General features: G+C 50.6%; 1 protein-coding gene across 13 annotated transcripts; it reads right to left on the bottom strand.

Moving 5' to 3' along the window:
• IL9R (interleukin 9 receptor) lies at positions 172 to 13,969 on the bottom strand. Of its 13 annotated transcripts, none has more exons than XM_011545650.3 (11): positions 13,734 to 13,912; positions 10,013 to 10,113; positions 8,502 to 8,639; positions 7,961 to 8,072; positions 7,666 to 7,844; positions 6,956 to 7,101; positions 6,042 to 6,243; positions 5,333 to 5,438; positions 3,914 to 3,998; positions 3,390 to 3,622; positions 704 to 1,705 (listed from the first exon to the last, which is right to left on the bottom strand). In XM_011545650.3, exons 1-11 carry the CDS (start codon positions 13,775 to 13,777, stop codon positions 1,669 to 1,671), a joined length of 1,383 nt encoding a protein of 460 aa, XP_011543952.1. In that variant the 5' UTR covers positions 13,778 to 13,912; the 3' UTR covers positions 704 to 1,668. The 13 variants fall into 13 exon arrangements, with proteins under 13 accessions (XP_047298690.1, XP_011543952.1, XP_047298689.1 ...); XM_047442733.1 differs by having other exon boundaries at positions 6,042 to 6,240; XM_047442734.1 differs by having other exon boundaries at positions 172 to 3,622; positions 8,502 to 8,615.

The raw sequence follows: 22,735 nt of genomic DNA, 5'->3' as shown, positions 1-22,735 counted from the left end.
CCTCCTTAAGACACCACAATGCATTCCCCTTGGGGAGTCAGCCAAGAATTCTTCCTCCTGCACCGTCTCTCTTCTGCCCAAACTTTCGGGGCATAAGACTTAATAAAGTCTTGTCTGGGAAGCTTCCTTGGCCTAATATCAACTTCTGTTTCATGGGAGCCCAAGAACATGTGGTTGGGAACACTGCCAACATCTTTATTTCCAACTTCTGGACTTCAGAATTGTGAGACAACAAATCTCTGTGGTTCTAAGCTAACCATTTTGTGGCACTTTGTTACGACAGCCCTAGGAAACAAACGCAGGCACGTTCTGCTCCAACTGCCACTCTCTCCAGACCACAGCTCCTCCACAAGCCCACCCCATGAGAGGCTGAGGACAGAAGCAGGACCCTTCACAGGCCACCATCACTGCTGGATGGTCACCCCCAGCACTGACTGTCTGGAAGCTCCAGGCTCAGCTCTCAGTTTCCTGGAGCAAGGGGGAGGATGAGGACAAGGAGGAACGAGGGCACTGGCCTCCCAGGAATTGTCCCTGAGCCTCCATCCTGCTGTCCTGAAGCTGCCCCTGAACCTCCAACTTGCTGTCCCCAGAACTGTCATTGAGCCTACACCATGCTATCTCTAGAGCCCGGAAAGCCCAGGGCTGGACAAACCCCACCCCTCACTCCTCCTCTGGCCCCTTCTCCCAGCCATCAACACTTTGGAACAGCCATCAAGCCCCTTTTAATCTCTAGAAAGGTGCCTCAGTAAGGCACAGAGAGGTCACACCAGGTGGTCATGGTGCCTTACCTGTGTCCACTGGGCCCAGGCTGGCCCTTTAAGGGTATGAGGGCAGAACAGCTGAGAGACCACACCCCACTTCTCAGAGAGGTCAGGGATAAAGAAAAGGGACAATGGAAGGAAGAACTTGTGGCCAGGATGCTGAGGGTAGAGGCTGCTCCCCACAGGCACTGAGCAGAGGGGTTGAGGGGGGAGCCTCCAGCCTCCATCCAGACAGGACCTCTGACCGCTGCTAGGGGCCCCTTCTCAGGAGGTTCAGTCTCAGACAAGGGCTCCAGAAACTTCAGTCCATTTTCCCAAAATGGACATGATGCATCTGGCGAGTCAGGGACCTAGAATGTCCAGGACCGAGCCTTGCTGAGGACAGAAGGGAGCAACATGCCCTGGAGGTCCTCATGCAGCCCAGGCCTCTGGCAGTGACCAGCCAGCACCCAGGCAACTCCTTGCTGGGTCTCCAGGCCCTGATGGTCACAAGAAAGGCCACAGGCCAGGGCTGGGATGGGCCCAGAGCTCTGTGTGTTTCCTGGGAGGGCTGAGAGGTGCCATCCCCCATAGCAGCCCAAGGCACAGTAGTTGTTGTTGTTGCTGCTGCTGCTGCTGCTGCTGCTCCTGCTGCCCTCTGAGTCTGGGGGAGCCGGCCTAGTCAGGGACGTGGGGGCCCAGTCCTCCTGTGGCAGATAGGCAAGCGTCTGTACCCTCCACTCCGTACACCCTGCTGGCAGCACATCCTCTGAGCTCAGGTTCCCCGGGAGCCTGGTCCCAGGGCCCTCCTGTTCCTCCTCCAGGGCCACAGATTTCCAAGGACGCGCTGGGCCACAAGTGAGCAGTGCAGTGGCCTCCTGGACGCAGGGCTCCAAGGCTCCCTGTGGGGTGCCAGCACAGTCCTGGCTCAACAGCACACCGGCCCCGTGGGCCCCCATCCAAGTCTGGAACAGAGCACGGGAGGAGGGAAGGGCTCAGGTAGCATGTTCAGAACTCATCCTGGGAGCAGCTGCCTCCTTTCTGGCAAGCCCAGCATCCCTCCTCCTCCAGGAAGCCCTCCTGAGGTCCACACCCAGAGGCCAAGCAGCGCCTGTGTCTTGGACATTCTGTCTTTCCTCCATGTGCCAGCCCAGCCTCATCACGGGACCCTGAGTCCCTTCAGGCTCCTCAGCACTCCCCCAGCACAGGGCCTGGTGCCCACGGCAGCCTGAACCGAGGTACAGATGGTGATATCTGCCCAGGACAGAGCCAGCTCCTGACAGCATGTGCCTCAGGGCCTTTCAGCAGCTGCAGAGACTGGGCATTCCCAACACACACACACACACACACAAACATACACAAACACACACACACACAGAGACACACACACACACAAACACACACAGATACACACAGACACACACACACGAGACACACACACACAAACACACACAGACATAAACACACACAGACACACACACATAAACACACACACACACAGACATACACACACAAACACACACACACAGACACACACACCACACGAACACACACAGACACATAAACACACACAGACACATACACACACAGACACACAGACACACACAGACATACACACATAAACACAAACACACACACACAAACACACACACAAACATACACAGACACATAAACACACACACAGACACACACACACAAACACACACAGACACACACACAAACACACACAGACACAAACACACACAGATACAGACACACACACAGAGACACACACACACAAACACACACAGACTTAAACACACACAGACACACACACATAAACACACACACACAGACATACACACACAAACACACACACAGACACACACACGAACACACACAGACACATAAACACACACACACACACACACAGACACACACACGAATCGCTGTCAGGACTGGTGACTTTCAAAGCACTCGGCTATGGCCAGCAGACCTGGATCCTTCTGTGGGGCCACAGGAGGCCCCCGCCTCCAAAAGGAAGCTGTTCCCTTGGTGGGACCAGGAGCCTCCATCCCATGCATCACACACACAACACCCTCCATCACTGCAGTGCTCCCTGGAGACCAACCTATGGCACCAGATCCTCACCCGCAGGTCTAAATAACCCGTGGCAGGTGTCCTAGTTCTCTAGGGAACAGCTGGTGCCCGCAACAGGATGACAGTCCAGGGGACAGTCACAATCTGACCTGCTCAGCCTTGTCGTCAGCTGCCCAGGCTCCTGACAGTCACATCTACCACCTTGGGGAAAGAGGGAGACTCTGCCAAGAGCCAGATGCCCGGTTCATGGTTCAAATTATATTTTTGGACAAAAATCTTGAAAACTACGCTCCTCATTGAGAGAGAAAAGGATTTTTCTGCATAGTAAGCTGGAGCCACAGTGTGAAGGGGACAGGGAGGGAAGATTCTGGAGAAGAGTGGTCAGCTTGGCCCAGACCCCAGGGAGGGGCCCTCACTGCCTCTTGTCCTTTGCCCAAAGTGAGGAGTCTGAGGGGAAAAACCAGAGACCACTCACTGGAGCTCTCCCTCTCCCCCTCCTCCCACCCAGGGGGCATGAACCAACAGCCCAGCAGGGAGGGGAGGGGCTGATGCAACCCCCAAGTTGCTCACTGGTGCCTGGGCTGTAGGAGCCCAACATGGGTGGAAGGGGGGGAAGTGCAGAGCCCACTCCTCAGCTGTGGTGCCATCATGTGATCCGGGGAGACCAGGGGACCAGGCAGAGCAGGAGCCCAGAGGCAGTGAGAGCCCCAAGGGCAGCACACACACCACAGACCCTTCCCCATGGCCACAGGACAGACACCTTCGCAGAAGGAGGAGGTGAGGCACATGGTGGGTGCAGAAAGCTGCAAACCAGAGGGGACAGAGATAAGTTATGAGAAATTTACATTTTTTCAATCAACAATGGAACTAGAGACCTGAGAACAAAAAGAAATCAGCAATGGAAAATAAAGCTAATTTTTCCCCATTTGAGATACGCGTATAAATTGAAATTCACTGAATATACAAAAAAGGCTCCAAGCACTGACAAGCCTCCCATACTGGCCGCCAACCCTCAGTGAAAGCCAACATCTTGGGCAGGCCAGAGCTCTGGGCAACCCCTGCCCCCCATGTCCTTCTGTGGTCTCTGCACACACCTGGAAGTTCCCATTGTGTACACTGTAGAGGGGCTGGAAGAACATCGCTGGAGAGGGCACGTTCTGGTAGAAGATTCTCTTCACCCTGAGGCCAAGAGAGGCCAGTCAGAGGCCTATGGCGACCCAGGTGGCCTGAGGTCACTGCAGAGGCTGAGCTTCCTTCCATCAGCAGGAGGTCCGCCCACCTCGTCCCTGCCACTGCCTCTCTCCCATCTCATCACATTCCAACCCACTCTCAGGGCAGGACCCAACTGGGCCTCCTTGCCTAACGGCCGCATAGAACTGATTTATACTGAGGCGCGCGTCCTTTACAGCGTGAGCTGCGATGGCGGGTTCAGAACGGGGAGTTACTAGCTGGGTCCTCAGATCACAGAGGGAGCCAGCACTCCAGGAACCCTGTCTTTGCCATCAGCAGAAGGTCTGTGGCTCCCACCCCACCCAGTGTCTCCCTGAGCACCAGACTTGCTGCCAAGGATCCACTGACCCTCCCACAAGGATGTCACCTGGGGCTCCAACCCAACAGGTCCAAATAGACTTCACCAACCTCCCTGCAAGGCTGTCCCCCATTTCCCCACCTCAGGGGTCACCACTCATATCTCATCCACCCACATGTCCCTTCTATTTCCCCTCATGAGACCCTGCAATTCTCTCCACTTTTCTCTATCTCCACTTCTTTCACTGGCTCATGCCAAATCGTCTCCCTGTGGGCACCTCACTGGCCCCCATTGGCCTCCAGCAGGTCCCCCATGTCCCCTTGTCCCAGCAATCTATTCCTCAAAACATAAACTAGGTTGTGTCACACAGTTTTACACTTTCCTTTGCTCCAAGGAGAAGCGAAGCACCCTCCCACTTAGCCCCACCCAACACCCCTCTCCCCACACCCTCTTCCTCACATCTGCGGCCTGACATGGCCCCTGCACCCTGTCTTGTAACCTGACATGTGGTGCATGAGGCGTGACGGTTTATTTAAGGAGGGCCCTTGTCCATCTTGTTCTGAGAACAGGGTCCTGAGCACACCAGATGCCCCAACTGTCCTTTCGTAGAACATGTGAACAAATGAACAAACCAAGCTCCTCCAGAGGCAGGAGACTAGGACCTCCGGCTCTTGATCTCGGTGACTCTGGGTCTGGTCGGGACCAAGCTGCCCTTATCTTCAGCCTCTGCCTCAGACCCCCCTTCCCTGCTCTCCCCTGGCAACTTGAGAACCCTCTTCTGGACCAGGGTGGAGACTCGAAAAGCCCACCCCGTCCAGGACCAGGCAGTGGAGAGGGGAGGGGAGGAACCAGACAAGGGCGGCCCTTGATGGCCCACCCACCACACACTCACACATGCACACAGTCACACATCTGCACACATACACTAACATGCACACTCTTGCCCGCTCACACATGTACACACACGCACACATCAGCCACCTACCTGGGCGACAGCTTGAACAGGAGGTAGGTCGGGCCAGTCAGCAGGAGAAAGATGGACACAGCAACAAGGGTGTTGCCTGGCCACCCCCAGGGTGGGATCAGAGGGCCTGTGGACAGGAAGGGCCCAGGGCTGTGAGCAGCCTCAGTGCCAGGAGGCTCCCCCCAAACCCACCTGGCAAAGGTGCGCCCTTTAGTGCCCTGGGCCAAAGTGGAAGGTTTGTGATGGGCCTTGGAGGTTTGTGTCACCTGCTGAAGGACCTTGTGATGGGCCTTGGAGGTTTGTGTCACCTGCTGAAGGACCTTGTGTGAACCACACTCCTGGGCCTCACTCTTCCCATCTGCCACAAGGTGGGTCATAAAGTCCCTGGGCCATCTCAGCACTGCAGTGCGCAAGGGTCAGTCCAGCCCCCATTAAGGACACTGAGGTCATGTCCAGCCTCCAGGCAGGAGCCCAGCCCTGGTGTGCAGCCCTGCCACCCTCACTCCTAACAGCAGCCACTAACTACAGGTTCCCAGGAAGCCCCAGAGTTGGCAGGTGTTTCTGTCCTCCCTACAGACCTCAGACCTTCAGAGGAAGGGGGTCAACTGAGGCATGGCTGCCTCGGGGAGGGGCTTACAGGAGGGTGAAAGGGTGCAGGGCTGAGGTGAACAGGGGAGAAGACGCCCAGCCCAGACTCCGCTGGAAGTGCAGCAGCCACAGCAGTGCCCACCTTGTCTCTGGGGAGCCTGGAAGCACACAGGCTGGCTCCACTCACTCCACTGGCCTGTATAACGCTCCTCCTCTACCACATCATCCTCCAGTGTGGCCATCTGGACACGCAGCCTGGCCTCATGGATAAAGCCAGGGTCCAGCTCAAAGGCTTCAAGTATAAGCCAGGTCACCCCGACAATGTGATCCCTGTGCTGGGCCTGCTGTGGGGGTGGGGACAGTTAGCAGGTGGTGAAGGTGGGGCTGGGTCCCTCAGCCCTCGAGAATACACACATGCATTATATGCTCATATAACACACTCTTGAACACACTTGTGTTAACACACAGACACACTCACCACATTCACGTGCACACACACACACAGAAGGCACACTCACACTCACAGACACAGCTGCGTTTGCCCACAAATACACATATGCACACACAGGCAAACATGTCTACAGGAACACTTTCACACTCATCACACTTGCATGCACACTCATAAACAAAAGTGTGTGCACAGAAGCAACTCACCACACTCACATACACACTCATACACATAGGCATGCCCATGTGCACACTCACACAAATGCAAGGCACAGGCACACACATATGTACACTTACATATAAACACACAAACATGGGCACACAAACATGAGTGTGCACAGTTACATATGTGTACACATAAACACATACATGCACACTCACCACACTTATGTGCACACACAGAGACACAGGCGCACTCACCCTACTCCCATACACACACATAAAGCATACACATCTGCATGCCAGCATGTGTGTGTGCACACACACCCCGCTCTAGTTCCTCCCTTCTCATCACTACAAGTTGACATCTCCCTATGTAGAGTGGGGAGTCTACCCTGGACTGCTGTTCCCAGGAGAGAGGCCCCCAGGGAAAGCCAGCCAAAGTGTTACCTCCCAGGCCTCTTCCTGCTTCTTGAAGGCCAGCTCATAGCTGAGAAGTGTGGTCATTGGCTCCAAGGCAGGACTGATGCTCCAGGTCAGGATGCAGTGGCCAGAACTGATGTTGCTCTGCAAGTCAGAGGGCGGGTCCAGCTTAACTGGAACAGAGTGAATCCATGTGAGGCTGAAGCCCCATGGGTCTGGGTGTGTCAGTCAGAACACACAAGACTGGGGTCTGAAAGACTCCCAAGGGGAATGGTCAAGGCCCTCTCAGACCAGGCACCTCACTGGGAGACTGGTCCACAAAAGCCCCAGGCGGGACAGGACAGCAATGACTTCCTCTGGCCTCTGCACCTAGACTAGGTGGTTTCTAAATCTTGCTTTCCCTTTCCTTCACAGTCTGCTGCTGGAAGCTTTTCCCAGCATCTTATTGGAGTCCTTCCTGGTATGACTGAAGTGCATTTCACATGACTCAAGTGCCAGCCCCTGCCCCAACTAGCAGCCGTGCATGTTTATTTCCTGCCAAAACCCTGCCCCTGCAGTAACCATATGGGCCCTCCCCTCCCAAGGGCCAAGCCTGCCCCCAGCCCTGGATCTCACTCGGCTGGGACTGAGAACACTCACTGGGCCACTCACAGGCTGCAAGGCCCTGCTCCAAACCCCCAAGCAGCCAGGATGTTCTTGCCAAGCGGCCCCGCCCCAGACCTATAGCTGCTGCTCACCGTGTCTCCGGGGCAGGTACTCCGGGTCCACCAGGCTGACCTGCTCCCTCCCAGACATGCAGTGGTGGAAAGTGATGGTGAAATTGTCAGATGGCACGAGCACTGCCTCAGGTGGCAGCACGACGGTGCACTCACTGCCCCGCAAGATGCACTTATGTGTGCCGCCAGGAGCCTGGTTGCTGGAAAGGGCATTTGTCAGCACCACGGGGCTGCTACACTGTCCTGGCATAGCTGCTTCAATCCTGGGGAACTCACCCTCATCCCTGTCCAGGTGGGCATGGCCCTCCATGCTCACCTGGTGAAGAGGAGCCAGGGGCTGGAGCCCTGTCCCAGCTCTGGGGCAGACCAGTGGCAATCGATCCTGAGAATGTTGTTGGTGAGGCAGGTGAAGGTTCTAGACCTTGGCCCTGGAGACAGTGACCATCAGGAGCCCACGGTAAGTACTTCAGGCCAGAGCTGAGCTCGGGGGTTGGGGAGGATCTGACAGCTGACACCCTAGCAGGGCAGTCACCAGTAAATGATCCCAGAATCTGTCCAGGGAAGCACTGGGAGGCCTGGGAAGTGATGGGCTCTGACCTGTGGTACACGGGCAAGTCAGATCTGGAGAGGCGTCAAGAGAGTGAAGGAAGGGAGACTACAGTCGGTCCAGGGAATGAAGGTAGGGAGGTAAAAGTAGGGAGACTAGAGACTGAGGTCCAGGCTGACCCCTAGAGGACATGCCCCAGCACAGTTTGGGCCAAACCTTTCCCTAGAGGCTTGACATCGGACAACCCAGTCCCCCAAACATGCCCTAGTTCTCCACCCACCTCATACAGACATTAGTGCCCAGCCCTCACCTTGTCCTTCCCCTGTGACAGAGACTCCCAAGCAGACACAGGTGCAGATGCAGATGCAGGCCAGGAGCCAGGTGCCCATGTCTCGCCTCAGGGCCTCACTCTCCAAGGTCCAGCCTGCAAGGGACTGGGCTGAGGGCCCTGTGCAAATCATCCCTCTCTGGAGGGGTGCTCCCCATGAATTGCTCCCCAGCAGAGTGCTCCATGGGTCCCCACCTGCACTCACACAGTGTCCTGTGTCCTAACACTCACACAGTGTCCAGCGTCCTGGACCACTGTCCAGGCTTTACTGATAAGGAACTGAGCTCAGAAAGGCCATTTGACTCAGCCAAAGACTCATGGCTGCAGGGTGTAAGGAACACCCTCAAACTTAGATCCTGGCCTCTGACTCAGCTAGGTCTCCACATCTGCCGAGAAGACTCCTCTCTGGGACAGTCATCCTCTGCCAGCCCATCCCCCATTCCCGGGCCCAGGCCCCATCCTGCAGGGGAGTCAGGGTTGGGGGAACTGGTCACTACCAACAACCACCATAGGTACATTTTCTACTTTAATTCTCACAACAGCTCTGTAAGGGAGAAGCACTGTCCCCGTTCACAGGCAAGGAACTGAGTCCCAAGGAGGGGAAATGACTTGCCCAGGGTCACACAGACAAATTCTAAGCAAATTTTTTTTTTTGAGACAGTCTCCCTCTGTCACCCAGGCTAGAGTGCAGTGGTGTGATCTTGGCTCACTGCAACCTCCGCCTCCTGGGTTCAAGTGATTATCCTGCCTCAGCCTCCCGAGTAGCTGGGATTACAGGCATCTCCCGCCATGCCCAGCTAATTTTTTTTTTTTTGTATTTTTAGTAGAGACGGGGTTTCACCATGTTGGCCAGGCTAGTCTTGACCTCCTGACCTCAAGGGATCCACCTGCCTTGGCCTCCCAAAGTGTTGGGATTACAGGCGTGAGCACCAGACCCAGCCTCTATGCATTCTCTCTCCCTTTTGTCCTCTTAAATAAAGACCCATCCAACTGTTCTGCCCCAGAAAGGTGGACGAGGGTGGCAGCAGGGTATCCATGCAACAGATGGCACTTTCTGAACTCTGTTGCACCCCTGTTCCAAGGCACCTGCAAAGAAGAGCAACACCAGAAGGGCAAAGCCCCCGGATGCTGGAGCGTGAGGCCTGAGCCCCAGGATCCCTAGGGGAGCCAGAGGTTGGCTAGAGATGAGGGGCTGGGTGTCAGGAAGTGCTTGGGTGTGGGAAGGCCGCTGACGCCCTATCACCCCATTTGCAACTCCAGATGGTACACCGATAGCCCCTAGGCAGGAAGCAGGGCCAGCCTGGTTATACAAGACTGATTACTGATAGGAGGAGGAAAAAACCAGACACGCACACAGACTTACAGCCTTAAAGGACCGCACAAACCAATGGGCAGCAGGCACTACTCTAACCCCACTCTGCCCCACTCCCGGCAGCGTATACAGGTACCCATAGGACAGTCCCCTGTTAAGACTGATGATCAGGAAGCCTCACCCTTTCCTAGAATGGAGCGTGCAGCCTGGAACCACCAGCCACAGCATGAAACACCGTGGCAAGTTCTCTGCAGCAGTGTCTGTCCGTTCTTGCAGCAGTTACTGGAAAGGTGGGAATGGGGAAGGCAGTCAGCCTGCTCTTGGGATATGTGAGGGCAGGGTTGGAGTCACCACCAGGACCTGGGGAAGCACAGGCACAACGGCCACAGCTGAGAGCTGACCCAGGCCCCAGAATGGACAACTGCTGCCCCAGCAGTGGAGAAACACCCACATCTATGTAGAATCAGGCCAGGCCAGCCACAGGCTAACCCAGGAGCAGACGGCTTGAGAGCAGGGAGTGGGATGGCTCCAAGCTCAGCAGGCCTCGTTTCTAGACAGGGAAGGGGGATGGTAGGGCAGGATCCACATGTGACACCTGAGAGCTACAAAGTAGGACCGGAGAGTTGGGTACAGCGACAAGGGGGTATGGCCATCTGAGGGGAAGTTCTCTGCTTTTCCTCTGCACTGAAAACTTACATCTGTACCTGGTAAGCTGAGCAGGGCAGGGTCACCACCCTCCTACAGATGAAGAAACTGAGGCTCAGAGACCTGGGACCTGCCCAATACCTGGCTCCTGACACCTCTCTTCTTGGCCCATTCCCACCAGCTTCCACATAAGCCTGTGAACTTCCCGAGGGCAGTGCCTGCGAGGCACCACTCAGCACATGCCCCAGCAGAAGGCACCACAGTGCTTTATAAATGGGGTGGAGCTGCAGGCAGAGCTGCCTTCCCCCATCCTTGACCACAGGGCCAGGCAGTCAGGGCAGATGCATACACCCTTACTCACAGGCTCCCTGCTCCTGAATGTCACCAGGGAAGCCTCACCACAGCTCAGACAACACCTGGTAACAGGCCGGTTGTGAGAGCAGGAGGGGAAACCAGTGTCTGCCACCTGGGACAGAGCTGCCCCTGACACCCCCAGTCCCGCTGGGGAGCCTGGCTGACATCACTGCCCAGCACAGCCTATCCCGCCTTGGATCTGTGGACATAGCCTTCAGCCCATGATCACTTTGGTCTGTTCTCAGAGCCCCACCCATTCCATGGCCTCAGTGTCAAAGTCTGGCCCAGATGCCTACTAGGCCTCATAGCCTGCCTGCCCTGCTTCCCTGGGCCACTGTGAAGCTGTGGGCTGCCCTGCCCTCACCTTTCCTGAACACTCACCTAATACAGAGCAGGCCACCATCATGGAGGCAGTCCAGGCAGCCCTGAGCATCTCTGTGCCTCCAAGCACACTCTCCAAGTTGCCCTCACACCAGTTACTGCATCCACTTACTGTTACACAGAGACTATTATGCATATATATATGTGTGTATATATATATATATTTTTTTTTTTTAGACGGAGTCTCGCTCTGTCGCTCAGGCTGGAACACAGTGGCGTGATCTCGGCTCACTGCAACCTCTGCCTCCCGAGTTCAAGTGATCCTCCTGCTTCAGCCTCCCAAGTAGCTGGGATTACAAGCATTTACAAGCATGAGTCACCACGCCTGGCTAATTTTTGTATTTTTAGTAGACACAGGGTTTCACCATGTTTGTCAGGCTGGTCTCGTACTCCTGGCCTCAAGTGATTCACCTGCTTTGGCCTCCCAAAGTGCTGGGATGTCAGGCATGAGCCAACATGCCTGGCCATATTTTGTCTTTTTTAATGGGGGCGGGGAAGGGTCTGGTTCTTCTGGACCATTCAGGAGGCTGGCAGCCTCAGAAGTTACTATTGAAGTGGACACCTGTCCAGCAAGGTCTTCTGTCTGCTGGGGGAAGAGGAAGAAATGCAGACCTTGGTACCCCAGAAGCAGCTGGAGCCTGGGGACATGGAGCCTGTGCCAGAAAATGGTGCTGGAAATGGGAGCAGGGGCCAGCTCCCTCTCTGGACCACATGAGGACTTCCTTCAGCACAGTGGGAATCCCCAATGCTGTTGGGCACAGAGTATGTAAGGTGCTGACAGGGGTAGGGATGGGCAGGAGGCAGGAGGGATGGGGTCTGAAAGGCCAGCTGGAGGCAAGTACAGAGACAACAGACACCTCATAGAGAAGGTGCAGGGAAGGCAGGGTGGGAGAGAGATGGCACCAAGAAGCATTTCCCACACACTTTCAGAGAAGAGGATGAGGGGCAGTGCTGCATCCGTGAGGTAAATGCCTGTGGGAACGCTGGGCCACAGCTCAGGAAGAAGTCAGGGCTGGACTTGGCACTGCAGAGGTGTTGGGTGGACAAGGGCACATACCCAGGGCAGAGGGGAGTAGGCAAGGGTGGGTGGGAGAAGTACAGAGAGGCGTGGAGGAGACCCCTGCTGCTCTGCTTCCCACTGTCCCCTCTGCCATCTTCCCTCCCCATCACAGGCCTGGTCCTTCATGAGGCCTTTCCCCAGTCCCCTAGTAGGCCTCCTTAGCTGGACGGAACCCCTGAGCCTGAGCACAGGCAACTCTCCTTCTGCACAGCCCTGAACTGACAGGGCCCAAGGGTTGAGCAGTGGCCATGGGCCAGGGCTGGAGTGAGGATATTGGCACAGTCCCCTGGGAGTCTGGAGGTGAGACGGGAAAATGATGTCCGTGCTCTTCCTGCTGTCTTGGTGAAGAGGTACCCACGTCGCCTGCTCTGCCCAAAACACCCCTCCCACAGCCTTGCTGCCCCACTGCAGTTGAAGGTCATCACTGTGCGTTGTCCCTACATGAGGCTCCTGGAGGCAAGACCCTGTTTGATCATGTTGCATCCCCTGCACCCAACTCAACCGTTTGATAAATGTTTTCCAACCCCCGCCCCACCTGCAGAGGCTGCCCTTGCTTCTGGACGGTGTTCATGTTGTGGGTACCCAGGAGCGGGGCTCTGGGATGCTACTTGAAGACACGCTGAGAGGATACCCACTCTTGATACTGTCTCAAACTCTGTCTCAAAAAAAAATTAATAATAATTAAAACGCCTGCCCTGCCTGTCAGCTGTAGCGTGACAGCTCTGGGAAGAGGGTGAGCCCAGAACAGCATAAATCACAGGAAGAGAAAATGGGGGCAGGGAGGGGAGAGGAGGATCCAAGCAGGGCCCACATCCTCCAGCTCATCACAAGAACAGGCTATCCAGACCCCAGGAAACTGAGAGGGTGATGTTCTTTCCAAAACAAACCCTCTCCTCCCCTTCCTCTGCTTGGCTGGGTTGACCCTCCCTCTGGAATCCCACCCTCACCTGCTGCCCCACACACAGCTCCAGTGGGGCATACCCATCCTCCTGGCTCCTCTTCTGCCCTAAAACACCCAAATGCCTCGGGGTTGGTAGAAGCTTTCCCAGCCCTGGGCCTAGACCTCAGCTCCACCCCATGGCCATCACAACTGAGGCCCAAGTATGCCCATTCTCACCCCACAAAGGCACCCCCACAAAGGTCAGTTCAATCACTGAGGAAGCAGAGTTCCTTCCATAATTAGAAATTCTGCCTGACAAACTCAGTGCCACACTGGCCACAGCAGAACCCATGACCCCTACAGGACTGGAAATTAGTTTGTAATCCTTGAGGTCAGGGCTGCAAATTTTGCCATCTCTAAGAGATACACAAGGCCAGGACACCAGAGGAGGTAAAGCTAGGGTGGCGCTCTCAAATGCCACAGTGGCTCCCTGGGCCCCGAGTTGGAGGGCCACATGTCCCTCTCTGCCTTCTGAATTTCATGCTGACTTGAGAGGTTGGGAAGCCCAAAGCACAGACTCACCTTCCCAGATGCATCTGCCCAGTCCCATCACAAGTCTGAGGCATCCCCAACCTGGAGGTGATTTGTCACCCAACTATCTCTGGGTGCACAGCAAAGACCCTCAGCCTGATTCAGGAGATAACTGCAGCAGTTGGTGACGTGAGCTTTGCACGACAGGTTCACACAGGCCGCCCACATCTGAAACCACAAGCGCATTACAGAGCTGCTCTCCCGAGCAGAGCTGAGAAGTGTCTGTCACCACTAATCTTCTAAGTCAGGGAACTGTGAGACATGACAACCTTACAGTCCCCATGACATTGAGAACTGCCAGACATGGACTTCAGTGATTTGTCTACTGACTGGCAAGTGAGTGTCCACTGTGTTCTTCCCAAGAAACACCACTGAGATTCATTAAACTGACCCCAGGAGGCAAGAACCTGTGCAGGTGCAGAGCAGTGCCCTTGTCCCCTTCTACACTTTGCCAAAACCAGAGGTGCAGGTTCTCCTTCCACCAGCTAAAGCAACCTGTGAGCATCAGGGGTGGGGAGAGTATTAAATATAAAATTAATGCAGACTCAGTTGAAGAAAAACAATACAGAAGAAAAATTCTTTAACAGGGTCCCCTTTCACCTCCCCCAAGAAGTAGCCACTGTGAGTAGTTAGGCACAAGTCCATGCAGACACTTTTGCTTTTTGGGGATTTTGTTTGTTTGTTTGTTTTCTTTTCTTTTTTGAGATGGAGTCTTGCTCTGTCGCCAGGCTGGAGTGCAGTGGCGTGATCTCGGCTCACTGCAGCCTCCACCTCCTGGTTTCAAGCGATTCCCCTGCCTCAGCCTCCTGAGTAGCTGGGACTACAGGCGTGTGCCATCACACCCGGCTAATTTTTGTATTTTAGTAGAGATGGGGTTTCACCATGTTGGCCAGGATGGTCTCGATCTCCTGACCTTGTGATCCTCCTGCCTAGGCCTCCCAAAGTGCTGGGATTACAGGCGAGAGCCACCTCGCACCCGGTCTTTTTTTTTTTTTTTTTTGACCGAGTCTTACTCTGTCACCCAGGCTGGAGTGCAGTGGTGCGATCTAGGCTCACTGCAACCTCGGCCTCCCGGGTTCAGATGATTCTCCTGCCTCAGCTCCTGAGTAGCTGGGATTACAGCCACCTGCCACCAAGCCCAGCTAATTTCTTTGTATTTTTAGTAGAGATGGGGTTTCACCGTGTTGACTGGGCTGGTCTTGAACTCCTAACCTCAAGTGATCCGCCCACCTAAGCCTCCCTAAGTGCTGGGATTACAGGTGTGAGCCACCACGCCCAGCCAGACACTTCTTAAGCTGAAACAAATACCTATTTCTTAAAGACTCCTGCTGTGCTGCCACTTTGCAGCCTTCTTGTTCCCCTATGGTGTTGCACCATCTTTCTAGGTCAGCATATAAAACCTACCTCATACCTTTAATGGTAGTATGCACCATGGTTTAATAATCCCTGCAATGTCTAGGCCCAGTGCCTCACACCTGTAATCCAAGAACTTTGGGAAGCAGAGACCGGAGGATCTCTTGAGGATCACAGGAGGTCAAGATTAGTCTGGGCAACAGAGTGACACCCTGCCTCTAAAAGAAAAACAATAATAATCATAATTTCTGCAATGAACATTTGGATTGTTGCCTGTATATGCTATTTTATTTATTTTTATTTTCATTTCTTTAGACACAGAGTCTTGCTCTGTCGCCCAGGCTGGGCTGGAGTGCAGTGACATGATCATAGCTCGCTGCAGCCTCAGACTCCTGGGTTCAAGCATATATGCTATTTTAAGTGAATTTCGTGAATAATTCTGGGCATGGATCTTCAAACAACAGAGTGAGTCCTACTGTAGGATAAATTGCTAGGGGTAGAATTGTGGGGTCTTAGGGTTAGCATTTTAAAATATTGATAGATGCTGAGATATGGCCCTACATAAAAAGTGTTGCACAGACTTTTGCTCTCACCAACAATGTAAGAATGCCTGTAACCTTCACCAACAGTAAACATTATCAGTCTTTTTCATCTTTGCCAATCTGATAGGCTAAGATATTTCAATGTGGTTCTAATTTGTACTTCCTTGAGTATTAGTCAAGATAAGCATCTTTTCATGTATTTATTACTTGTGTGTTCTTTGGGGTTGAATTTTAATCAGCTTGGCTCCAGTCTTACCTGCTACAAGCATATACTGTTCTACTCACTGGAGCCATCCCTGCACTAGTGTCCTTACCAAGACAGCTTCTTTCTGTCAGTGTGCCTTCTATCTTGCTGAAGCCAGAATTTACTAACTCAAGACCAGCAGACCACACTACCCATATCATAACCTCAGAAGCAGAGACCACAAGGGCTGGATAGGGAGAAAGGAAATTCTCAAAAGAAAAACCAGAGAAGAGAGCCCCAAATTCTACATCTAAATTCTACCCAAATCTCTGGATGACCCTTGAACTATACATCTGCCAGCTAACTCCAAGGAGCCCAGCTAAGGTTAAATAACCTGAACAGAAGTTTCAGCTGTTCACCTCAGGACACAGAGTTTTCTGCCTGCTAAAATAACAAACAAACAAAAACAAAATTAAAAAAAATTTTTAAACACCCTCCAGAGAAATATAACAGAACACACAGTCTCAACAATGTATACCATTCACAATTTCTAAGATAAAAACAAATTTATCAAACACATGAAGAAAGAGTACTATGTCACCCATGCTTAAGAGAAAAGATAATCAATGAAGATTGACTTCCAGGAATAAGTTGTTGGAAATAGCAAAGGTTTTAAAGCAGATACTCTTACTATGCTCAAATATATAAAGGAAAATATGCTCCCAATGAATACATAGGAAATCTCAGAGGAGAAATAGAAACTATACAAAAGAACCAAGGCCAGGTGTGGTTCTATACAAAAGAATCAAGGCCGAGGCAGATGGATCCCTTGAGGTCAGGAGTTTGAGACCAGCCTGACCAACATGGTGAAACCCTGTCTCTACTAAAAATACACAGATTAGCTGGGCATGGTGGTGCACATTTGTAATCCCAGCTACCTGGGAGGCTGAGGCAGGAGAATCACTTGAACCCGGGAGGCAGAGGTTGCAGCGAGCCAAGATCATGCCACTGCACTCCAACCTGCTGACACAGAAAGACTCTGTCTCAAAAAAAAAAAAAAAAAAAAGAAAGAAAGAAAGAAAAAAGAAAGAAAAGAAAATATATAAGCAAAAAGTGCATCTTAAATAAAAGGAATAGGCCAGGCATGATGGCTCATGCCTGTAATAACACCACTTTGGGAGGCTGAGGTGGGTGGATTGTTTGAGCCCAGGAGTTCAAGACCACCCTGGGCAACATGGTGAAATCCCGTTTCTACAAAAAAAAAAATACAAAAATTAGCTGGGCATCGTGGTATGCACCTGTAGTCCCAGTAGGAGGCTGAGGTAGGAGGATTACCTGAGCCCGGGGAGATTGAGGCCGCAGTAAGCCATGATCAGGCTACTGCACTCCAACCTGGGCAACAGAGTGAGACCCTGTCTCAAATATGGAATAAATTATAACAATGCATACAAGAAGAAGGAACATTAACCTCTCTGAGCCTCAGTTTCCTTATCTGCAAGATGGATACAGAGAGGACTTGTTATATGTTAAACTACATAAATTGTCACAGCCCTATGAGGTAGAACAGAGGTCAGCAAATGACACGGGCCAAATCCAGCCTAATTTTTAAAACCTGTGAGCTAAGAATGGTTTATACATTTGTATGGATCCAGCATGCTTACACTGGTTTATACTTTTTTTTTTTTTGAGACAGGCTGGAATGCAGTGATGCAATCATAGCTCACTGCAGCCTCAAACACCTGGGCTCAAGCGATCCTCCTGCCTCAGCCTCCTGAATAGCTGGGACTACAGGTGTCCACCACCACACCTGGCTAATTTTTTGCTTTTATTTTAGAGAATGGGTCTTACTGTGTTGCCCAGGCTGGTCTTGAACTCCTAGCCTCAAGTGATCCTCCTGCCTTGGCCTCCCAAAGTGCTGGAATTACAGGCATGAGCCACCATGCTTGGCCATCTTAACCATTTTTAAGTGTACAGTTCAGTGATATTAACATATTAAGTACTATTATATTGTTGTGCAACCATCACCACCACCCATCTCCACAATCCTTTTCATCTTGCAAAACTGGAACTTTGTACCCTTAACCAACAACTCTCCATTCCCTCCTCCCCTCAACTTGACAACCACCTGTTAACCACCATTCTACTTTCTGTCTATGCTAGGTACCTCATATAAGTGGACTTATATAGTATTAATTTTTTTTCCAAAGTTTTTTTTTTTTTTTTTTTTTGAGACAGAGTCTCTCTCTGTCGCCCAAGCTGGAGTACAGTGGCACGATCATGGCTTACTGCAACCTCCACCTCCCAGGTCCAAGTGATTCTTGTGCCTCAGCCTCCCGAGTGGCTGGGATTACAGGCGTTCGCCACCACACCTGGCTAATTTTTGTGTTTTTAGTAGAAACAGGGTTTCATCATGTTGGCCAGGCTGGTCTTGAACTCCTGGACTCAAGAGACCTGCCCGCCTCAGTCCCCCAAAGTGCTGGGATTCCAGGTGTGAGCCACCGCACTCGGCCTATACAGTATTAATCTTTCTGTGATTGGATTATTTATATATGGCCACTCCTGATCTCTTCTGGTTACTATCTGCATGACATGTCTTTCCCTATCCTTTTACTTTCATCCTATTTGTGTCTTTAGATCTAAAGTGAGACTCTTGTAGACAGTGTATACTTGGATCATTTTTAAATGTTATTTCTGTATTTATTTTTTGAGACAGGTCTTGCTCTGTTGCTCAGGCTGGAATGCAGTGGTGCAATCACAGCTCACTGACATCCTGGGCTCAAGTGATCCTCCCACCTCAACCTTCTAAGTAGCTGGGACCATAAGTGGGCACCACCACACCTGGCTATTTTTTCTTTTTGTATGTTTTGTAGGGACAGGGTTTTGCCACATTGCCCAGGCTTGGATCATTTCTTTAAGTGGTACATTGACAAATTATAATTGTATATGTTTATGGAGTACAATGTTATATTAGAATTTAGGAATATAAGGTGAAGTGCTTAAATCAAAGTAGTTAACATATCCATCACCTCATATACTTTTTCTTTGTTGTGAGAACATTTACTCTTAGCAATTTTGAAATGTGCAATAAATTACATTTATGGCTGGGCAGGAAGCTCACGCCTGTAATCCCAACACTTTGGGAGACCAAGGTGGGAGGACTACTTGAGGTGAGAAGTTCAAGGCCAGCCTGGTCAACACAGCAAAACCCCATCTCTTACAAAGTTAAAAATTAAAAAACAGTCAGGTGCGGTGCCTATAGTCCTAGTTAGTCAAGAGGCTGAGGTGGGAGGATCACTTGAGCTCATGAGTTCAACGTTACAGTAAGCTGTAATTGTGTCATTGTACTCCATCCTAAGCAAAATAATGAGACCTTGTTGCAAAAAAGGCAAAAAAAAAAAAGCAACCAAAACCCTACATTCACCATGCGACCATGCTGTGCAATAAATTTCAAGTAAAACACTTTATTCCTCCCATCTGAAACTATACTCTTTGACCAATATCTTCCCCATTCCACCACCCACCTGGATCATGTTTTTTTAATCCATTCTGCCAATCTCTATCTTTCGATTGGAGAGTTTATCCACTTACATTCAAAATAATTACTGATAAGGAGAGACTCACTTATGTGATTTTGCCATGTGTTTTCTATATGCCCTATGGCTTTTTTTTGTGGTCCCTTATATCCTGCATTACTGTCTTCTTTTGTGTTTAGTTGATTTTTTTTTACAGTGAAACATCTAAATTCTCTTCTCATTTCATTTTGTGGATATTCTATAGCTAAGCTATTTTCTTTGTGGCTACCATGGGATTACATTTAACCTCCTAATATTAAGACACTCCAATTTGAATTTCTATCACTTAACTTCAATAACATACAAAAACCAGGCCAGGAACAGTGGCTCATGCCTGTGAGAACTTTGGGAGCCTGAGGCAAGATGATCACTTGAGCCCAGGAGTTTTTCGACCAGCCTGGGCAATATGGTGAAACCCCGTCTCTACTAAAAAATACAAATATTATCCAGGTGTGGTGGCATTCACCTCTAATCCCAGCTACTCAGGAGGCTGAGGCATGAGAATCTTTTAAACCAGGGAGGTAGAGTTTGCAGTGAGCCAAGATTGCGCCATGGCACTCCAGTCTGGGTGACGGAGTGAGACTCCATCACAAAAAAAAAAAAAAAAAAACAATCAGCCAGGCATGATGATGCACGCCCGTAGTCCCAGCTATTCGGGAGGCTGAGGTGGGAGTATCAGCTAAGCCCGAGAGGTTCAGGTTGCGATGAGCCGTTATTGCATCACTGTACTCCAGCCTGGGTGACGGAGTGAGACCCTGTCTCCGAAAAAAAAAAAAAAAAAAACAACTATGCCCCTGTACAGTTCCATCCCCACTCCTTTTCAGTTACTGATGTTACAAAATTACATATTTATACATTGTATGTCCAGAAATATAAACTAATAATTTTAAATTCATTAATCTCTTACATTATGTAGAAGACAAAATGTGAAGTTACAAATCACTTACAGTAATACTAGCTTTTACACTAATACTCATTATCATGTATTAGGCTCTTAAATCAAGTAAAATAACAAAAAATAGAATTACAACCCAAAGTTAATAGTAGCTTTTATAACTGCTCTTGTATTTACCTTTACTAAGATCTTTATTTCTGGCCAGGTGAGGTGGTTCACGCCTGTAATCCCAGCACTTCGGGAGGCCGAGGTGGGAGGATCACCTGAGGTCAGGAGTTCAAGACCAGCCTGGCCAACATGGCGAAACACCGTCTCCACTAAAAATCAAAAAATTAGCTGGGTGCAGTGGCGCTACTAGAGAGGCTGAGACAGGAGAATTGCTTGAACCCGGGAGGTGGAAGTTGTGGTAAGCCGAAATCGCACCATTGCACTCCAGTCTGGGCAACAGAGCAAGACTCTGTCTCAAAAAAAAATTTATTTCCTCTTATGGCTTCAAATTACTGCCTAGTGTCCCTTCATTTCAACCTGAAGGACTCCTTTTGGCATTTTTTGCAGGGCAGACCTAGTCGTAATGAAATCTCTCAGCTTTTGTTTCTGTGGGCATGTCTTAATTTCTCCCTCACCTTTTAAGTACAGGAGTCTTGGTTGACAGCTATTTTCTTCCACTGCTTTAAATATATGAGCCCACTACCTTCTGTTCCCCAAAATTTATGATTAGAAATCTGCTGATAGCCAGGTGCAGTGGCTCACACCTGTAATCCCAGAAATTTGGGAGGCCAAGGCAGGTGGATCATGTGAGGTCAGGAGTTCGAGACCAGCATGGCCAACAAGGTGAAACCCGTCTCTACTAAAAATACAAAAAAAAAAAATTAGCCTGGCGTGGTGGTGTGCACCTATAATCTCAGCTACTCAGGAGGCTGGGGCAGGAGAATTGCTTAAACCCAGGAGGTTGAGGTTGCAGTGAGCCCAGATCGCACCACTGCACGCCAGCCTGGGTGACAGAGCTAGACTCAATATCAAAACAAACAAACAAAACCTAAAACTCCATCTCTACAAAATAAAAAAATGAAAAAATAATAATTAGCCATTTGTGGTGGCAAGTCCACTTTCACTGAACACTCTGTAACCCATGCCTTGGAAACAATAATCTCAACTCTTCACATTCCACTGGTTGTGGACACAATTTTGGATTCAACATCAGAGGCACCATATCCCAAGTTACGGGTGAGTTCTCCTTCCCATTAGGTTTGAGTTGACCACTCAAACAAGGGCACACCTGGCCTGGTCATCCAGGCAAGGGCAAGTCATTCCTACTCGCCCTTGGGTTGCAGTCTTAAAAAGTGACCCCATTTTAACCCACAAACTCCCAAAAAGAAGTGTATACTTTTTTTTTGCATTCAGAGGTCCCACATGTTGAGGTCTTTTTGGCTTTATCCCCAAATCCCCAAATAAAAATTATCATACATGCTTCCAAGGAACTTCCTCTCCCCCTGATTCTGATGTCTTAGACGATCCTTCCTTTTGCATACCACACTCTCCTCAGCCTGCTCCTGCTTCACCTACAACCTCTCCATCTGCTCCATCCCCTAATCAACCCTTCCCATAACCAGATACTTTATCCCCCTCACATACTCACTCGGGAGTCACATATGCAACTCTAAGATTCCTCCAAAAATCCCAAAAATGTTTTGCCTGTCCACAAGATGGCAAATAGAGATTTGGGAACAATTTGAGTTCATGTCCCTTTTCCAATGTCTGATCTTTCACAAATTCAACCCACATTGGATTCATTTTGCCAGGATCCCTCTAAGTTCACTCAAGAACTCCTTTGATTTAACCTGACAAGACATATTCGTGCCATTCCCACAAAGAAAAATCACACATATGGTCTTTAGCTCAAGCGTAGACAAATAAAGTTCATGCTCATAATCCTAATGATAAAAGGGTTGAGGCAGAAGCTGTCCTCAACAGAGAACCCAATTGGCAATAACAAACGTTATCTCATCTGCCGATGAGATTATATAATAACGTGCTTGATGGAAGGAATGAAAAAGGCTGTGATAAAACCTGTTAATTTTTCTAAGTTACAAGAAATCACTCAGGAACCATCTGAGAACTCCACCCTTTTCCAAGCTGGACTGGTGGAGGCAATGCATAAATATACAAATTCACACCCTGAAAGCCCTAAGGGCCAATCCATTCTGGCTGTACAGCTTATACGTCAGGCTTCCCCAGACATCAGACAAAAACTCCAAAAATTAGAGCAAGGCACTCACATTCCCTTCCCTACTTTACTAAATACAGCCTTTAAGGTTTTCAATGACTGGGAGGCAACCTCAAAAATAAAAAAAGGCTCAATTGGAGGAGGAAAAATGCCATTGCCAAGCGAATTACATGGCAATGGCATTGATACATTATTTTTCGTTAGCTAATAAACCCAAGACTCA

This window comes from Homo sapiens, chromosome Y (assembly GCF_000001405.40).
Source record: "Homo sapiens chromosome Y, GRCh38.p14 Primary Assembly".
Lineage (NCBI taxonomy): Eukaryota > Metazoa > Chordata > Mammalia > Primates > Hominidae > Homo > Homo sapiens.
The sequence above is the reverse complement of the archived record's forward strand: the minus strand, read 5'-3'. Positions and strand labels throughout refer to the sequence as shown.